The sequence below is a fragment of the Homo sapiens genome, chromosome 2 (genome assembly GCF_000001405.40).
Source record: "Homo sapiens chromosome 2, GRCh38.p14 Primary Assembly".
Taxonomy (NCBI): domain Eukaryota; kingdom Metazoa; phylum Chordata; class Mammalia; order Primates; family Hominidae; genus Homo; species Homo sapiens.
In genome coordinates this window covers 113,555,741-113,573,307 of record NC_000002.12, presented here as the reverse complement: position 1 = coordinate 113,573,307, position 17,567 = coordinate 113,555,741, and the positions used below count along the sequence as shown (strand labels likewise).

The 17,567-nt window shown below is 41.9% G+C and overlaps 1 pseudogene across 2 annotated transcripts in view, besides 1 other annotated feature; it reads right to left on the bottom strand.

Moving 5' to 3' along the window:
* Positions 2,244-2,783: an enhancer, noted in NCBI's record as "OCT4-NANOG hESC enhancer chr2:114328102-114328641 (GRCh37/hg19 assembly coordinates)". NCBI's record gives its function as "activates a minimal SCP1, AML or CMV promoter by ChIP-STARR-seq in primed H9 embryonic stem cells {active_cell/tissue: H9 hESC(primed)}" and the evidence as "EXISTENCE:reporter gene assay evidence [ECO:0000049][PMID:30033119]".
* The window catches only part of PGM5P4 (phosphoglucomutase 5 pseudogene 4), a 29,425-nt pseudogene continuing 16,227 nt past the window's right edge, over positions 4,370-17,567 (bottom strand). For both annotated transcript variants that reach the window (NR_146438.1, NR_146439.1), the window contains exons 2-4: positions 16,728-16,817; positions 10,010-10,172; positions 4,370-4,668 (exon numbers count right to left, since the gene is read on the bottom strand). The product of NR_146438.1 is annotated as a phosphoglucomutase 5 pseudogene 4, transcript variant 2 (transcript). The remainder of the gene's footprint in view (positions 4,669-10,009; positions 10,173-16,727; positions 16,818-17,567) is intronic.

The window sequence follows — 17,567 nt, the reverse complement described above, 5'->3', positions numbered from 1 at the left end:
CCCAGATGAGAACCCAGTGCTGGCTGACACCCTGATGGCACCTTACAGAGAACCAGTTAGGCTGTGCCAACTCCTGACCTGCAGAAGCTGGGGAACATTGGGTCGTATTTGCAGCTGCTGGATTTGTGGGAATTTGTCACACAGCAATTGGGAGTCACACAGCCTGTGATGCCCCAACAATCCACACCTCCTGCATCTCCCTGCCTTCACTTCCTAGCACACTGCCCTGACTCCCTCTGCCGTAGCCACGCTGGCCCTCTGCTGTTCTTTGAAGCCACCAGGCCTGCATTGGCTCCCAGCCTTTGCTCTCACTGCTTTCTCCTCCTAGAGAGCCCTTCCTGCATGTATATGTTTGACTCACTCCCTTGCCTCCTTCAGACTTGTACTTAAAAATCTCAGTAAGCATTTCCCTGGCTACCCTTTTAAAAATTGCAACCCACTTCCATCCCCATCCCCAACATGCCATATTTCCTTTCTTCTTCTTCCTTCTTCCTTTTTTTTTTTTTTTGACACAGGTTCTCTCTCTGTCACCCAGCCTGGAGTGCGGTGACATGATCTCGGCTCACTGCAACCTCTGCCTCCCCAGGTCAAGAGGTTCTTCTGTCTCAGCCTCCGAGGTAGCTGGGACTACAGGCACACACCACATTGTCTTTTTTTTTTTTTTTTTTTTTTTTTTTTTGTAGATACGGGGTTTCACCACGTTACCCAGACTGGTCTTGAACTCCTGGACTCAAACGATCCACCTACCTCAGCCTCCCAGGCTTTCTTTCTCTCCAATGTGTTTGCCTGTTTTATTTACTGCTGTATCCCCGGGTCATAGGAGGTGCTCACTAAGTACTAGCAGAGAAAATGAGTGAGCAGTGGGGATTCATGGATGGAGGATGGTTATGCTGATGAGCAGGAAGAGACTGGGAGGCTGGAGGCCATTTTCTGGCTGGCGGACCTCCAGAGTCAGAACTCCAACACGCTCTTCCTTGACACATCCTTTACGATAGAATATGTAGTCTTGCAGGAGGGGAATGGACTGTGAGTCTATTCTTATGTTCTATAAAACACCGATGACTATGGATATACATCTGGTTGCTTTAAGTGTGTGCAGTGACCTGCACAATGTCACACCTAGTAACTGGTCGGTAGTAACAGAAGTGCCTCTCCTTTCCTCCTCTTTATACATGAGGATGGCTGGATACAGAGTGGTCCAACTTGAGCAAGGTCACTCTCGTCATTTCATTCCAGACCTAGGAGACAGAAAGGAGTTCTCCTGATGCTAGTCCCCAGCTGGAGAAAGTGGCTTGGTGCAGAAACATCTCCAGGGGCAGCCAGCCTTCTAGGGAATGGAAAGAGAGGCAAGAGCAGTGGGTTCGAAGCCAGCTCCATTGGGAAGTGCAGACAGCCTCAGGACAGACCTCCACCCTGGGGGGGAGCCACCATGGTCACCTGGCTGAATGTGGGTTGAATTTGGATCAGACAGGATGATGAGGGAGCTGCCACTTGCCGGATGCCAGATGCCCCTGGCTGACACACAGAAGGGCAGATGTGGTCCCGGCTCCCAGGGGAGCAGGGTTCTCTGGGCGTTGGCCAGGCAAAGAAGAGCCGGAGAACCAGAGTGGCCCCGCCAGGCCTTCCTCTGTCCAGCTCTCCTGTACACTCCTCCTCTCCCTTCCTTCCCTCTTCTGCCTGACTTCCTCTTCTGGCACTGTCCTTCCTTGTTTCTGTTTCCCCTCTCTCCCTCTTGTCTTTACCTCCTTGGGTTTATTTTATTTTATTTTAAGCTCTAGGATACATGTGCAGAATGTGCAGGCTTGTTACATAGGTAAATGTGTGCCAAGGTGGTTTGCTGCACCTATCAACCTAGTGTAATTATGTCCCATTTGTCAATTTTAGCTTTTGTTGAAATTGCTTTTGGCAATTTCATCATAAAATCTTTGCCCATGCCTATGTTCTGAATGGTATTGCCTAGATTTTCTTCTAGGATTTTTATAGTTTGGGGTTTTACATTTAAGTATTTCATCTATCTGAGTTAACTTTTGTATAAGGTATAAGGAAGCCCCTCTTGTAGCAGTGTGGGGAGTGATTAGGAGTGGGATGGGACGGGAGGCAGAGTAAGCCATCTTGAGGCAGTTGTAACAGTCATAGGGAGAGATCAGATCACAAGATCTGGAGCTGGTCCACAAGCTCAGGGCTGGAAAATGTAGTTGTTCCCAGTTAATACTTCTGGAGTTGGAAAGTATAAAGAGCTATGTCAGTGTCAAGATCCCTGGTAGTTTGGGGCAGGGTACAATTACTCCTCTGGAGTGGATCTCATCGTGGCCCTCTGGGTGTCTGGAGGGCCCAGACAGAATCCCTTACTGTGGACTGGCGTCTTGCTGATATTCCCATTGAGGACTGGTGGGGAGAGCCATCATCACCATGGCAGTCCCCACACCTTGCAACCTAAGTACCTGTGTGATTGGTGATGGGTGAGGAACAGAACATCATTTACATATATAAAGAACAGCATGCTGTTTTCTTCCTTGAAGAGGAGCTGACCCTCCTCCCTGCTTGGCCATCATGCTCAGCCATGGGCCTGGGCTTGGTTGATGGGAGGGAACAAAAAGAATATGGGCCATCTGATCACATGGCTCTGGTTTTGAGCCCCAGCTGTGCTACTTAGTAGCTGTGTGATCTTGGGAAGCCACTTCACTTCTCTGAGCTTCATTTTTCTCCCATGCAAGATGGAGATAACAATTCTCTTGTAACTCAACTCTATCTTTATCCCTTCGTGAATCTTACCTAAATCCACATCTTCAATTTTTTTAATTTTTAATTAAGGTAAGATTTACATGCAGTAAAATTTATATGTTTTAGAGTGTAGTTCTGTGAGTTTTGACAAATGCATACAGTTGTGTAACCACATCACAATTGAGATACAGAGCAGCTCCATCACTCCCCAAAATTCACAACCCTCCCCACACCTCCTTGCAGTCAGCTACCCCCATCTCTGCCCCAGGCAACCTCAGATCTGATTTCATCACTAAGGATTAGTTTTGCCTAGAGTTTCGTATAAATTGCATCATACATATGTACTTTTTTACATCTGACTTCTTTCAATCATCATGTTGTTACATGGACCTGTAGTTTGTTTCTGTTGAAGAGCAATATTCCATTGTATAGATGGACCACCATTTGTCATCTATTCACAATCCATGCACATTGGGTTGTTTCCGTTTGAGGGTTATAATGGCTACAGCCGCAATGAACATTATTTTGCAAATTTTTCAGTAGACAAATGATTTTATATCTGTTGGGTAAATAGGAATGCAATGGCTGAGTTGTATGGTATGTATATATTGAAATTCTGTAGAAACTACCTGTTTTCCAAAGGAGTTGTACAATTTTCCATGTCCCCCATAATATATGAGGGTTTTGGTTGTTCTGCATCCTGGGAATATTTAGCATTGTCAGTCTTTTAATATTTTATTCATTCTAGTGTGAAATGGTATCTCATTGTGGTTTTAACTTGCATTTTTCTAATGGCTAATGATGTTGAGTACTTATGTATTTATTGGTCATTTGGATAATCTATTTTGTGAAGTGCCTGTTCAAGCCTTTTGTGTGTCTGCAATTTTTACTAGCGAGTTTATTTCTTCTTATTTAAACCTCACTCTGGGCTCCGGACAAATATATCAATGGAATTCTTCATACTGCTGCTTGTATGTTTCAAAATGACCTCAGCTGAACATAAAGGTAAACTTACAATTTTCTCTCTCACTCTTCCCCACTCCACTTTCAGACCTTGGCCTCCACCACTGACACATTCTCTCATCATCCACACAGTGGCACAGACCAGAAACCTAGGCAGCTTTCCTGATACCTCTTCTCATCTGTTTCCCTACTCCCACCCAATCCATCGTGTTTCCTCCTGCCTATTTCTTGAACCCAATCAATTCCCCCAAATTCCTCCATCTCCACCATTGCCTAAGCCACCATGGTCTCTCACTTGCATTACTGCAATAGCCTCCTTTCTTTCTTTCTTCTTTCTTTTTTTTTTTTTTTATTTTGGAAAGGAAGTCTCTGTCACCCAGGCTGGAGTGCAGTGGCGCAGTCTGGGCTCACTGCAACCTCAGCCTCCCAGGTTCAAGCAATTGTCCTGCCTCAGCCTCCCAAGCAGCTGGGATTATAGGTGCTCACCACCACAACCTGCTAATTTTTGTATTTTTAGTAGAGACGGGGTTTCACCGTGTTGGCCAGGCTGATCTCGAACTCCTGGCCTCAAGTAATCTGCCCACCTCAGCCTCCCAAAGTGCTGGGATTATAGGCACGAGCCACCACACCCAGTCAATAGCTTCCTTTCTAACAAGTCTTGTTCCCTTCAGGCTGTACTCCATGTACCAATCAGTGTCAGGCCTTTAGAAAACACAGATGTGATTGTAAGACTCTCTTATCCAAATCCTTAATGGCAGCCCATAACTCTTAACATAATTATTTGTTCCTTAATGTGATCTGTAAGACGAGCCATGCCCCAGCCAGATGGTTGTCTTCGAGCCGTGGTTCTAGGCTCCTTGTGTCTCAGGGCCTTTGCACAGACTGACCTGTGTTTGCAACACTCCTTCTCTCTTCTTCACCTCACTAACTCCTGCTCATTCTTCACATCGCAGTTCAAATTTCACTTCCTCCAAGAAGTCTGCCCTGTTCAGAGACAAGATTAGGAATGCTCTACGCTTCTTTCATAGACTTATCTTATAATGATGTATTTCTGGGACTATTCAAATTATGTTTCTCTCACTAGACTAATAAGCTCTGCGGGGAACGAATCTGTTTCGTTTGTGGTGCGTCCGGGTACCTAACACCAGGACCAGCTACGTAACATGAGGCCCAGGGCAAAATGAAAACGCAGCGCTTCTGTTCAAAGAGCAGGAAGAAGCGTCATTGAAGGGGCTCAAAGATACGGCGTTTTCCTTTCTTCTGTGTTCTCTCTCACTTGACTTGTCATGGTATTTTTATTTGCTATCTAATGTCATGCTAAGTTAAAATACAAATTTAAGGCTGGGTGCGATGGCTCACGCATGTAATCCCAGCACTTTGAGAGGCTGAGGTGGGCGGATCATTAGGTCAGGAGTTCGAGACCAGCCTGGACAACATAGTGAAACCCCATCTCTCCTAAAAATACAAAAAATTAGCTGGGCGTGGTGGCGGGTGACTGTCATCCCAGCTACTCGGGAGACTGAGGCAGGAGAATGGCTTGAACGTGGGAGGCAGAGGTTGCAGTGAGACAAGATTATGCCATTGCACTCCAGCCTGGGTGACAGAGCGAGACTCCATCTAAAAAAAATAAGATAAAATAAAATAAAAAATAAATTTAAATTATCGTGACTTTTTACCATTTGTTTTTATATTGTAGGACGCAAGGTATAAATGAAAATATTAGCATTGACCTCATATGTAGAATCAACACAATTACACAATTCACATTCCATAGCTCATCCATGTGTATGTATTTCATTCTTGCTAAACCAGTAGATACGCTGCACAAAACTAGCTCAGCTCTTTCTATCTCACTTCCTGACACCCACACACTCCAGCAACACTCTCTACCTTGGGATCATGGACACTAAGGAAGGACTGAAAGGACAGGAGCTATAGGCTGCTCTCTCTTCCCCTTTCCTTGTTCCATACAAGTACTAATGAGGCCAGGCCCTGCTTAGCTTCTGAGACGAGATTGGGCACCCTCAGGGCACTGTGGCCATAGTGTCCTGCCCTTTCCTTTCATGTCATCTCAACACAGGGGTCGGTTAGCACAGGGAAGTAACTCCAATTAGAGAGGATACAACAGGGCTCCTCAGTCATTTGTGTCTCTTCAAATGTCATTGCCTTCTTTCTGTGTACAAGCGCATTCTGGTTTCAGTGGAAAGTGAGGCCTCTCCAGATGGTTAGTGCCCCGCTCACTCAGTCACTGACTAACAACCCTGCCTCTACTCACAGCATGCTGAGTTTCCTGCACATCCCACAGCATGGCTCCCCAGGGGCATGGAGAAGATTATGTGAATGGGGCGGCAGGGAACGGCAGCCACACACATCACGTGTGGCTCCTCTGCTCCTGTGCATGCCCCCTTGTCCTACAGGACTTCGCTGACGAAACAGAAGTGTAAAGATATCGTTATTAATGTGACAGCAGAGTGTTAAACCGAATGCGGGGCACTTTCAAGTGCAGGACACTATGCAACTGACTTCGCAGGACTCAGAAAGTGGCCCTGCCTAGCACATGGCCACATAGCAGATGCTAATCAATGTGTTAAGTAAAGGAATGAAGGGTTGTCACCTGATAGAAGATAAACAGTTCTTCTGGTTTTGATACAAACTAAAGGCCTCTCTCCTCCATCACCTTGGAGATCCCACATAAATATCAGAGGGGCACCACTGCCTGTGATTGCCTATCTTTCTGGAGTGGAGAGAGAGAGTCTCATCTCATCTCAGCAGGAGGCCCATTCTCTTTGGCAATCCTCTGGCCTCCAGCCCATTTATTATATACTCACATGTCAACATGTACTTCGTACAGCATGTAACACAATTGCACTTTTATATTTTAACAAATTACATTTCCCATATTGAACTGTAAGTCTCCTGAAAGGAGGAATTTTGTTCTTGCTCATCATCAACTTTTTCAACATCCAGTGCACCATTTAGAACTTAGATGTAGTCAATACAGGTTTGTGGAATGAAAGAGGAAAAGAAAGAATTAATATTCCTTTAAATTAGGATGGCAAAGATCGTATATAGAAAATTGGCTAAGTTGTGGTCCATTCATGTTTGCTCCCAATTAAGGAGCACAGTTATGAAAAGGAAGGCTTCAAATTAATAACCAATAGATTTTTTAAAAAAGAAAACTGGCCAGGTACTGTGGCTTATGTCTGTAATATCAGCATGTTGGGAGGCCAAGGCAGGATTACTTGAGCCCAGAAATTCCAGACCAGCCTGAGAATTTGGCAAAACTCTGTCTCTACAAAAAATACAAAAATTAGCCAAGTTTGGTGGCATGTGCCCGTAGTACCAGCTACTTGGGAGGCTGAGGTGGAAGAATAGCTTGAGTCTGGGAGGTCAAGGCTGCAATGAGCTGTGATCGCACCACTGCACTCAAGCCTGGGTGGTAGAGTAAGACCCTGTCTCAAAAAAAAAAAAAAAAAGAAAAATCACTAAGCAAAATAAGACATGTGAAGGATCATGTCAAAGGTAAGAAAAATTAGGGGAACATTAAAAGCTTTCTTCCCAAGCCACTAAATCAACTTGACCAACAAAATTACCACTTGATTTAGCATTAGAAAATTACATTACATATCAAACATAAACCCATTAATCAAATACTACAGAAATTTCTGAGTTAAATGGTATAATGTTAGCTTATGCCAGAGCTGACCTTGAAAGATTGTTCAAATATGGCTCAGTGTGACTGAAAGTTCTGTGTGAATATGTTTTTGGAAAGATCCAACAGCAACACCTTAGTGTATGTTTTTGAAATAAAATGTATCTGAGTAGCAGCAAAGTTATCCATTTCTTCTAGGTCCTCCAATTTGTTGGCATAAAATTGTTCATAATAATCCCTTATGACCATTTTTATTTCTGAGGTATCTATTGCAATGTCTCCACTTTCATTTCTGATTTTATTTATTTGAGTCTGCTTTTTTTAGTGAATCTAGCTAGGAGTTTGTAGATTTTATTTTTTCAAAGAACCAACTTTTGATTTTATTTATATTTTCTATAGTTTTTCTATACTACATTTTATTTGCTTCTGTTCTGATCTTCATTATTTCCTTCCTTTTGCTCACTTTGGGTTTAGTTTGTTCTTTCTTTAGCTCCTTGGGGCATAGTGTTAGTCTACTTATTTAGATCTTTTTCCTTTTTTAATCTAGGCATTTATTGCTATAAACTTCTCTCTTAGAACTGACTTTGCCGCATACTGTAGGTTTTGATACATTGTGTTTCCATTGTCATTAATCTCAAAATATTTTTTAGTTTCCCTCTTGATTTCTTCTTTGACCCATTAGTTCATCATAAGCATGTTGTTTAGTTTCCACATATTTGTAAATTTTCCAAGATTCCTCCCGTTATTGATTTTTAGCTTCACACCATTGTGGTTGGAAACAATACTAGACGTGACTTCAATCTTTTTGAATTTGTTAAGGTTTATTTTGTGGCCTAACATATGGTCTATCCTGGAGAATGTTCTATGTATGCTAGAGAAGAATGTATATTCTGCTGTTGTTGGATGAATGTAGGTCTGGTAGGTCCATTTGGTCTGAAGTATAGTTCAAATTTAGTGTTGTCTTGTTAATTTTTTGTCTGGTTGATCTCTCCATTGTTGCAAGTGGAGTACTGAAGTCCCCTATTAGTGTTATATTGCTGTATATTTCTTCCTTCATGTCCACTAATATTTGCTTTACATATTTAAGTGCTTCAATTTTGGATGCATATATGTTTACAATTGTTATGTCCTCTTGATAAGATGACCTCTTTATCATTAAATCATGACCTTCTTTGTCTCTTGGAACAGCTTTTTACTGGAAGTCTGTTTTATCTGATATAAGTATAGGCATCCCTGCTCTCTTTTGGTAACTGTCTGTTTTCATGGAATATCTCCTTCTATCCATTTACTTTCAGTATATGCCTATTCTTAAAGTTTAAAAATGGGTCTCTTGTAGGCAGCATCTAGTTGGATCTTGTTGTTGATCCACTCAGCCATTCTACATCTTTTGATTGGACAGTTTAACCCATGTACCAGCAAGGTTATTATTGATAGTAAAAGACTTACTCCTGCCATTTTGCTAATTGTTTTCTGGTTACTTTGTAGATAATTTGTTCTCTTCTTCCTCTATTGTTGTCTACCTTTGTGGTTTGGTGGTTTAGTTTTCTGCTTTGTGGTTACAATATTGTTTTTTAAATATTCAACATGAATACACTTTCTTGTTTGGATAACGTGTAAAACGTCTACAAGGAGGGATAGATAATAAGTTTTCCCTTCAGAATGCACTGCTTTGCCTGGGATGAGGAATAATTTATAATGGTAACTGTTGCTGGTTAAAATTTGGCTCCTACCCACATTCATGCAAACTCAGCATTCTAGATTAAAAGAGATTTAAGAGACTTGCCAAGCAAATGCATGGCATCCTTAGATGTATCCTGATTTGAATAAAACAGCTATAAATAATAATATTTTGGGGATTATTGAAAAATTTGACTATAGATTAGTTTTCAGGTGATATTGGAGAATTAATGTTATTATTGTTAGGTATGTTAGCACGGTCATGCAGCAATGTGTCTTTCTTTTTAAGAGATGCATACAAAAATATTTGGGTGTGAAATGTTCTTGTGCTATAATTTGCTTTAAAATTCTTCAGAAAAAAAAAGATAAGCAAAATAGAAAAACAAGATAATGGGTACATGTTATCTATTTCTTATTCTCCCTATTTTTTTGTGTGTTCAATTTTTAAAAGAAATTTACTCCATACATATATCCCACCCCCTCCACTAAGGACCCTCAAACTATAAATTGCTGTGAATATAAGAAAAAGTGAAACAATTCTATGATTTTGAGAGAAAGTCAACACTGTAGGAAAAAGAGAGCCCAGGATTTGGGCTAAAAATCATTAATCTGACCCTGATCAACCCTGTGGCCTTCAGCAGTAACTCAGCCTCTCAGGCCTTTGATTTGTTGATGTGTAAAATGAGGGTCATTGTCATTTAGACAACGACCTTCAGGGTATGTTTTAATGTTAAAATTCAGAGTCCTTCCATATCAGATAAGCATCAACTATTCAATAGTTTATGCTGAAGAGTACAGGGGACCAAGAGACCACCCAAATGGGTTCATGAGCCCATCATGCCACTTCTTTGTTGGATCACTTTGGGCACCTCACTAAATTTTTCTGAGCTAGGTCCTCTGCACCTTGCTTGTCTATCATCAAAGGGTCACTGTGAGACTATAATAATATAAGAGGAAAGAAATCGTGATTATTAAGGCATATACTGAACCACATACCTCCATTGGCAACATTAAACTTCACTCCAAACTCTCCCCCTGGTCCTCCAGGGCAGTGGCTGGCTGTTAGAATGATTCCACCAGCTGCCTTGATCTTCCTGATAATGCAGGAGACCGCAGGTGTCGACAAGATGCCATTCTGTCCAATAATCAGTCGTCCAATCTAAACCATCCAAAAAAAAAAAAAAAAAATCAATCCAGTTGCTTGGGATTAAAGGCATTTCAACAGGAAAGTGCCCCAGGCTCTGTTAACATACAGCCAATCACTTGATAAAAGAAACAGAGTAGGCTTTAGATTAGGGGAGGCAGGGTAGGGGGAGCACTGACATTGTCTCTCCTATCTAATGTCTCTAAGACCATTTGGTGCACCTGCATCTAGTAGCCAATTATTAACCTGTAAATAAGATATGCCTCACTGATCTTCAGTCGTTTGAAACATCTGCTTCTGATAATCGAGGGGTTAGCTTGAATCACACAAGAAGTTCTTAGTTTGCTACTGACTCAGAAACTATGCATGTGAACATGCTAGAGATTACAAGAAAAAAGAAATGGAGTGCTTCTCTGCTTCTTCTGCTTCCTGTAACTTAGAACAAGCTCAGAGAGCAAGGGGACTGATTTACTACAACCTCATCATCTGTAGGCATATTTTAACTGTAATCTTCAGGAATGACTTTTCTCCTGAAAGTAGGAATTCTCTTTCTGCTGTTAAGTGACAGCATGTGCTGGAGACATTGGAGAAATTACCCAGTCATGCTAAGCAGAGATCTGGAGGTCATCCATGGATGCAGCCAGATTCTTTCTAGAGCTACAAAACTGACTTTCTAAAAAGTCAGCAACACAGCGCTGAAGAACATTTATTGCTACACCTTGTTTTAAAATTGGATTCAATATCATCCAATCTAGTAGTTCTCAATATTTCTACAAAATAGAATCACTTATGAAGCTTTTCAAAATCCTAGTACTCAAACTGCATTCTAGACTGATGATATTGCAATCTCTGGGGTTGAGAGCCCAGCATTAGTAGTTTTAAAGCTCCACAGATGATTCCAATGTTCAGCCAAGCTCGGTAATAAAGCCCCCCTGTTACTCAAAGGGCTGGCAGCATGGGCATCACCTGCAAGCTTGATAGAAATGCAGAACTTCAGCTGGGCATGGTGGCTCCACCTGAAATCCCAGCACTTTGGGAGGCTGAGGTGAGCAGATCACTTGAGCTCCAGAGTTCGAGACCAGCCTGGCCAATGTGGTGAAAACCTATTTCTACTAAAAATACAAAAATTAGCTGAGCATGGTGGTGCACGCCTGTAGTCCCAGCTACTCCGGAGGCTGAGGTGGGAGAATTGCTTGAACCTGGGAGGCAGAGATTGCAGTGAGCTAAGATGGCACCACGGCACTCCAGCCTGGGCTACAGAGTGAGACTCTGTCTGAAGGAAGGAAGGAAGGAAGGAAGGAAGGAAGGAAGGAAGGAAGGAAGGGAAGGAAGGAAGGAAGGAAAGAAAGGAAGGAAGGAAAGAAAGAAAGAAAGAAAGGAAGGAAAGAAAGGAAGGAAAGAAAGAAAGAGAGAGAAAGAAAGAAAGAAAGAAAAAAGAAAAAGAAAGAAAGAGAAAGAAAAAAGAAAGAGAAAGAAAGAAATAGAAAGAAAAAGAAAGAAAGAGAAAGAAAGAAATGCAGAACCTCAAGGCCCACCCAAGGCCTACTGAATAAGAACCTGTATTTTAATAAGATCCTCTCCTCTCTTCCCAGATAATTCATTTGATAAGTACTGATATAACCAACAAGCCAAAACAAACCTTAACATACAGTTCAACAACAAAGTTGCCCTGGCACCATCATTGCTAGAGGTCAGTCACTGACCAAATATAACAATCAGCGAGATCAGGGGAAAAAAAATTACAGAAGAGATCAAAACACACACACACACACACACACACACACACACACACACACACACACACAGAGCTCAAAAGCAAAGTGGCCTTGGGATGATTTAGTATGGAAATCCACAAGATCCACAGGCTACATATTTTCAAGTAGAGGAGACAGATTATAAACAAATAAGCAATAATAATAATAGTTACTAGTGAGGTACATATTAGGAAGGAATTAGACTGCTGTAATAGAGAATAAAGGATGTCAATTTTAATAATAATATAATAATAATAGCTAAGGGAGCTTAGATTTTATTCTAAGTACAACCAGAATCCATTGAAAGGTTTTAAACAGTGGAAGTGACCTGATGGCATTTTTAAACATCATGGGCTGAGCAGCCCAAATGTTCCTATTAAAAATTAAGTCACATCAAGTCACTAAAACATTCCAATAGCTTTCCTTGTCCCCCACCAACCCAAAACAAAGCCAAAGTCTTCATTGTAGTCTACAAGGCCCTACATAATCTGACCTCCATCATGTACCATTCTCCATCACCCTCCTGCCCTCCTTCTTCTGTTCCAGCCACAACGGAACAGAACAGCTATTCCTCAAACATACCAAACATGATCCTGCCTCAGGGCCCTCGCATTTTCTTTTTCCTCTGCTTAGAATACTTGCCCAGATATTAACATACCTGCCCTCTACTGTCTTTTGGGTTTCTGTTTCAATGTAAGCTAATCAGAGATAGCACCCTTGACAGCCCTATATAATACTATAGCCAGAAGTCCCTAACTTTTCTATTGTTTCCTATTTCCTTCACCCTGCTATAATTTTCTGGATCACATATGTTGCCTTTAACATTTTCCATATTATTTATTTTCCCACTGTATGTAAAGCCCAAGGACTTTTCACTGCTATATCCCAAGAACCTAAAATAAATCTGGCATGTGGTAAGCGTACAATAAATATTTGTTGAATTAATGAATGGAGAATAATGAATGCATGATGAATGGCTTCTCTGGGAGAAATACCTTGAAGGGGGGCAAGAGCAGAAAGAGGAATATCAGACGGGAGACTCTTCAAGTCAAGTGTTGATAGAGTCTTGGACTAGGCTAGAGCCAACAGAAATGAAAATTAGTCATTTGGTTTGAGATACATTTTTGGAAGGAGGATGAACAGAATATGCAGGTGGGCTGGAATATGGAAGAGAGGGGCTGTGGTAAATAGCCTCCAAAATGGCCCCAATGGTCCTTGTCTTTTGGCATTTGTGCCTTTTTGTGGTCCCCTCCCACACTGAACGATGCAGATCTGGGTAATCAGTATATATTGCAGAAGTGATTGTGTGTGACTTCCATGGTGAGGCCATAAATGGCATGGACACTTCTGCCCTGCTCTCTTGGACAGCTTATTTTGGGAGAGGCCAGCCGCCATGTCATGAAGACACTCAAGAAGCCCTGTGAAGAGGAAGCAAGGCCTGCCAACAACAGCCAGCACCAACTTTCCAGCCAAGGGATTGAGCCATCTCACAGTGGATCCTCCAGCCCCCACCAAGCCTTCATATGACCAAACCAACACCAACATGTAACTGTGACCTCATGTGAGTCCCCAAGCCAGAATACCCATCTCCTGTCTCAGAAATGATGAGAAATAATAAATATATGTGCTCACACATATTACCATCTAATTTTCTACATTATATGTTTATTTCCCCACTGTATATAAGATCCAAGGACTGTTTTTTTTTTCACTGCTATATTCCAAGAACCTAAAACAAATCTGGCATACGGTAAGTATACAATAAATATCTGTTGAATTAATTAATGGGAAAAAATAAATGAATGATGAATGGCTGCTCTGGAAAAAATACCTTGAAGAGTGGCAGGAGCGGAAAGAGGAGGGTCAGATGGGAGGCTAACAGCCAGCACCACCTTGCCAGCCAAGTGACTGAGCCATCTTGCAGTGGATCCTCCAGCCCCCATCAAGCCCCAACTAAGCCACTAAGTTTCATGGTAATTTCTTACACTGCAATAAATAACTAATACGGGACCAGTGAGAAAAGGAGTCAAGAATAATCTCAGCTTTCTACCTTTAATAACTTAATGGATAGTGGTGCTATTAATCAAGTCAGGAAAGAGAAAGGACAATAATTACACCTATAGTATTACCCAAAGTCATGATAAATTATTTTTCATATGCTCTTGCTAAAATTTATGTAGTCATTCAACTCATTTTATTGAGTATCTACCATGAAACCGGCAATATGGAAGAACCTTCTGATATAGAACTGAATATAATTTAGTCACTGCCCTCAAGTAATAAGTCTGGAGAATCAAGAATCTGAAAAATGTTTGTAGCTTTTGTTCAAAATTTTCTCTCAGCCATTTAAAGGGAAAATTATGAAGATTGTATAGTGGTGAGAGACTGGGATAGCAGTCCACAAAAACTTAGGAAGCCCTTCCATAGCAAAGAGTCAATGCTGAGGAACAACTGCCCAGCCAGGTGCTACATTTTCCAACCCACCCTTGCATCTAGGTGTGGCCACATGGTGCATTTGGACAATGGGTGATAAACTAGTATGAGAATAAGAACAGAAGTAATGTGTGTTTCTTCTAGGCTGAGGATATCAGAAAACAGACATATCATCTCTACACTGCTTATTTCTCTTTCTACAGATTCAGTACAGGTAATCATGTGGCTCTAGGCAATGCCAGAGTCACAAGAGGGAAGGAAACTGAGTCCCCATCCCATTTGGTAGACAAGAGTCTTTGCCCACCAGGGACATCCTCATTGGACTATTGTGTGAGTGAGAAATAACATTCTATTGTTTTTAAGGCAATAAAAATTGCCTACATTTCAGGTTTATTTATTACAACCACCCACATTTTCTTAAGCAGTAGCGAAAGAAACATAAACAATAGTTTAATGCCAAATCAAAAATGTCAAATGCAAAATTATTTTATGCTATCACAGTATAAAATTATGTCCACTTTGGGGCAAGGACTTAGAAAAATGCAGAAATAAACATGTAAATGATTATTTCTTTTGAAATTTAATCTTATTAAATTTCAGTTATTTTTGGAAAGGTAATATACATTCTGTTTAAGAAGGTTAAAGTGAGTAATTACACTTGAATAAAGTTTCAACCTGAAATACTTTAGTTATAATTGGAGAATTAACAGAAGATTAAATTCTAGATATCTGGAAATTTTACCTATGTGAGATCTGCTCATTAACCCATCAACACCAGAGAGAAGAGGTATTGCTGGACATGGTCCTATCATCTGGGGGATAAGTACTGGAGGAGATGTGAAAGAGAGGGTGATGGGGCTTCTGAGGTAAGACATGGAAAATTGTGAAGATATTTGTGTCCCTTATGGACACTCACCAAATGGTGACCTAGGCAGAGGAGGATTTTAATAACAGGATGACCAGTTCTGTGGATGTCAATGAGTGGCTTTCCCCCAGCCATTCCTGTCATTGTCCAATGGGCTCATGAGCCAAGTGGCTGTTACGGTTTAGATGTTTGTCTCCTCCAAATCTCCTATTGAAATGTAACCCTCAGTGTTAGCGGTGGGGCCCAGTGAGAGGTGTTTGGGTCATGGGGGCGAGTCCCTCATGAATGGGTTAGCACCACGTCCTCGATGATAAGTGTGTTCTCGCTCTGAGTTCACATGAGATCTGCTTGTTTAAAAGTATGTGGCACCTTCTCTTTTGTTCTCTTGCTCCCACTCTTGCTGTGTGATATGCCTGCTCCCACTTTGTCATCCGCCATGTGTAGAAGCTCCTGAGGCCTCACCAGAAGCCAAGGAGATGCCGGCACCAGGCTTGTACAGCCTTCAGAACCATGAGCTAAGGAAACTTCTTTTCTTTGTAAATTACCCAGCCTCAGGTATTTCTTTATAGCAATGCAAGAGTGCTGTAATACCATGGCCGTGATGGCAGGGATGAAGGCTATGCACGGGCTCAACAACATGGACATTCGCTCACCAAGGCTGACCTGGCTATGGCCACTGCAGAGTGCCTACTCTACCAGCAGCAGGGACCAACACTGAGTCTCCTTATGGTACCATTCCCCAAATGATCAGCCAGCTACCTGGTGGTAGATTGGTTAATTTGGGCCACTTCCATCACGGAAGATGCAGCACTTTGTACTTACTAGAATAGACACAAAGAAGAGGAGATATGAAGACAGATGCAAAGATTGGAGAGATGCAGCCACACCCGGGAAGCCAAGGAATGTATTCTGCTGCCAGAAGCTGGAAGAGGCAGGGAGCAGATTCTCCCTAGAGCATCTACAGAGTGTGGCCACGCTGATACCTTGATTTTGACTTCTGGCCTCCAGAACTGTGAGAGAATAAGTTTCTGTGATTTTAAACCACCAAATATGTGGTAATTTGTTATGGGAGTCCTAGGAAATGAATACAAAGTTTGTAATCTAATACAAAGTTTGTATGAGCTTCACAAGGCTGCTATAACAAATTGCCATAAACTTGGTGGCTAAAAGCAATTAAAATTTATTCCCTTACAGTTCTGGAGGCCAGAGGTTCAAAATCAAGGTGTCAGTGGGGGTCTGCCTCACCAAAAGGCTCTAGGGGAGGATCCTCCCTTGCCTCTTCCAGTTTCTGTTGCCTCCACATATTTCCGAGCTTGTGTTCACTTCACTCCAATCTCTGCCTCTGTTTTCACGTCACTTTCTTCTCTGCGTGTCTATGTCTTCTCTTCTGTTCACCCTCTCTCTACCAATTAGCCCAGGATAAATGCCATCAGAAAAGGTATGGCTTTCAAGATCTAGTCATTGATAAAAAGAAATATAACTTTTGGAAGCCCTTTTGTATAAAGAAAAAGCACTCACCTTGAAGTTAAAAGGCATAGGTATGAGTCTTGACTCTACCCCCTGACATAGGATCAATCGTTTAACTTCTCTGAGGCTCTGCGTCTTTATCTGAAAAGCCAAGGAAGAAGAGGGTTGTTAAAATCCACCGAAGATCAGATTCTATAAACAAAAACTCTTTGTTAAATTAACCATGACACAAATTATTCTATTGTCTTCCCCGAATCCCACAACCCCCTCCAACATTTAAAATTCATCTTTAGATAGCAGATTATCCCTTAAAGTACCATTTTACTCTCTGAAAAAGTCCTAGAAATACTACCCTCTGTCAATGCAGCAGACCGCTACCTTGCAAGGAAAAGATGGTCTACTTACATAATTATCCTTAGTTATGTTTACAGCATTGAAGCAGGCAATATCTGACTTTCATTCCTGAGTGAAATCCAGACCACAGCCCAGGGAGGACCAAGCCATGGCATTCTGTTGCTCCCCGCTGAACGTCCCACACCATAGGGTCTGGCTTTGGCTGGAAGAAGGGCAACCTCACCCAGTCCTCCAGAAGGTGCACATACCCAAGTGGATGCTACTGCCATTAAGGGGCATTTCCTTCAACTCCCACGCAGAAAAGGGGGCAAAGTGGACCCTAGTCCACTGTCACTCACACACATGTACAGATCCCAGGGTCCACACAGATACAGATCCCAGGGTCCACATCTATCACATATATGAACATTATCACACAGACCCCTGCAGACACATCTGTGAGGCATATGCATTCCCAAACACACAGACAGACTCGTGATAAATTTGTTCCTACCCAGCCGTGACTTCTAAATGCTTGGGGAAACCAAGACATAGTAG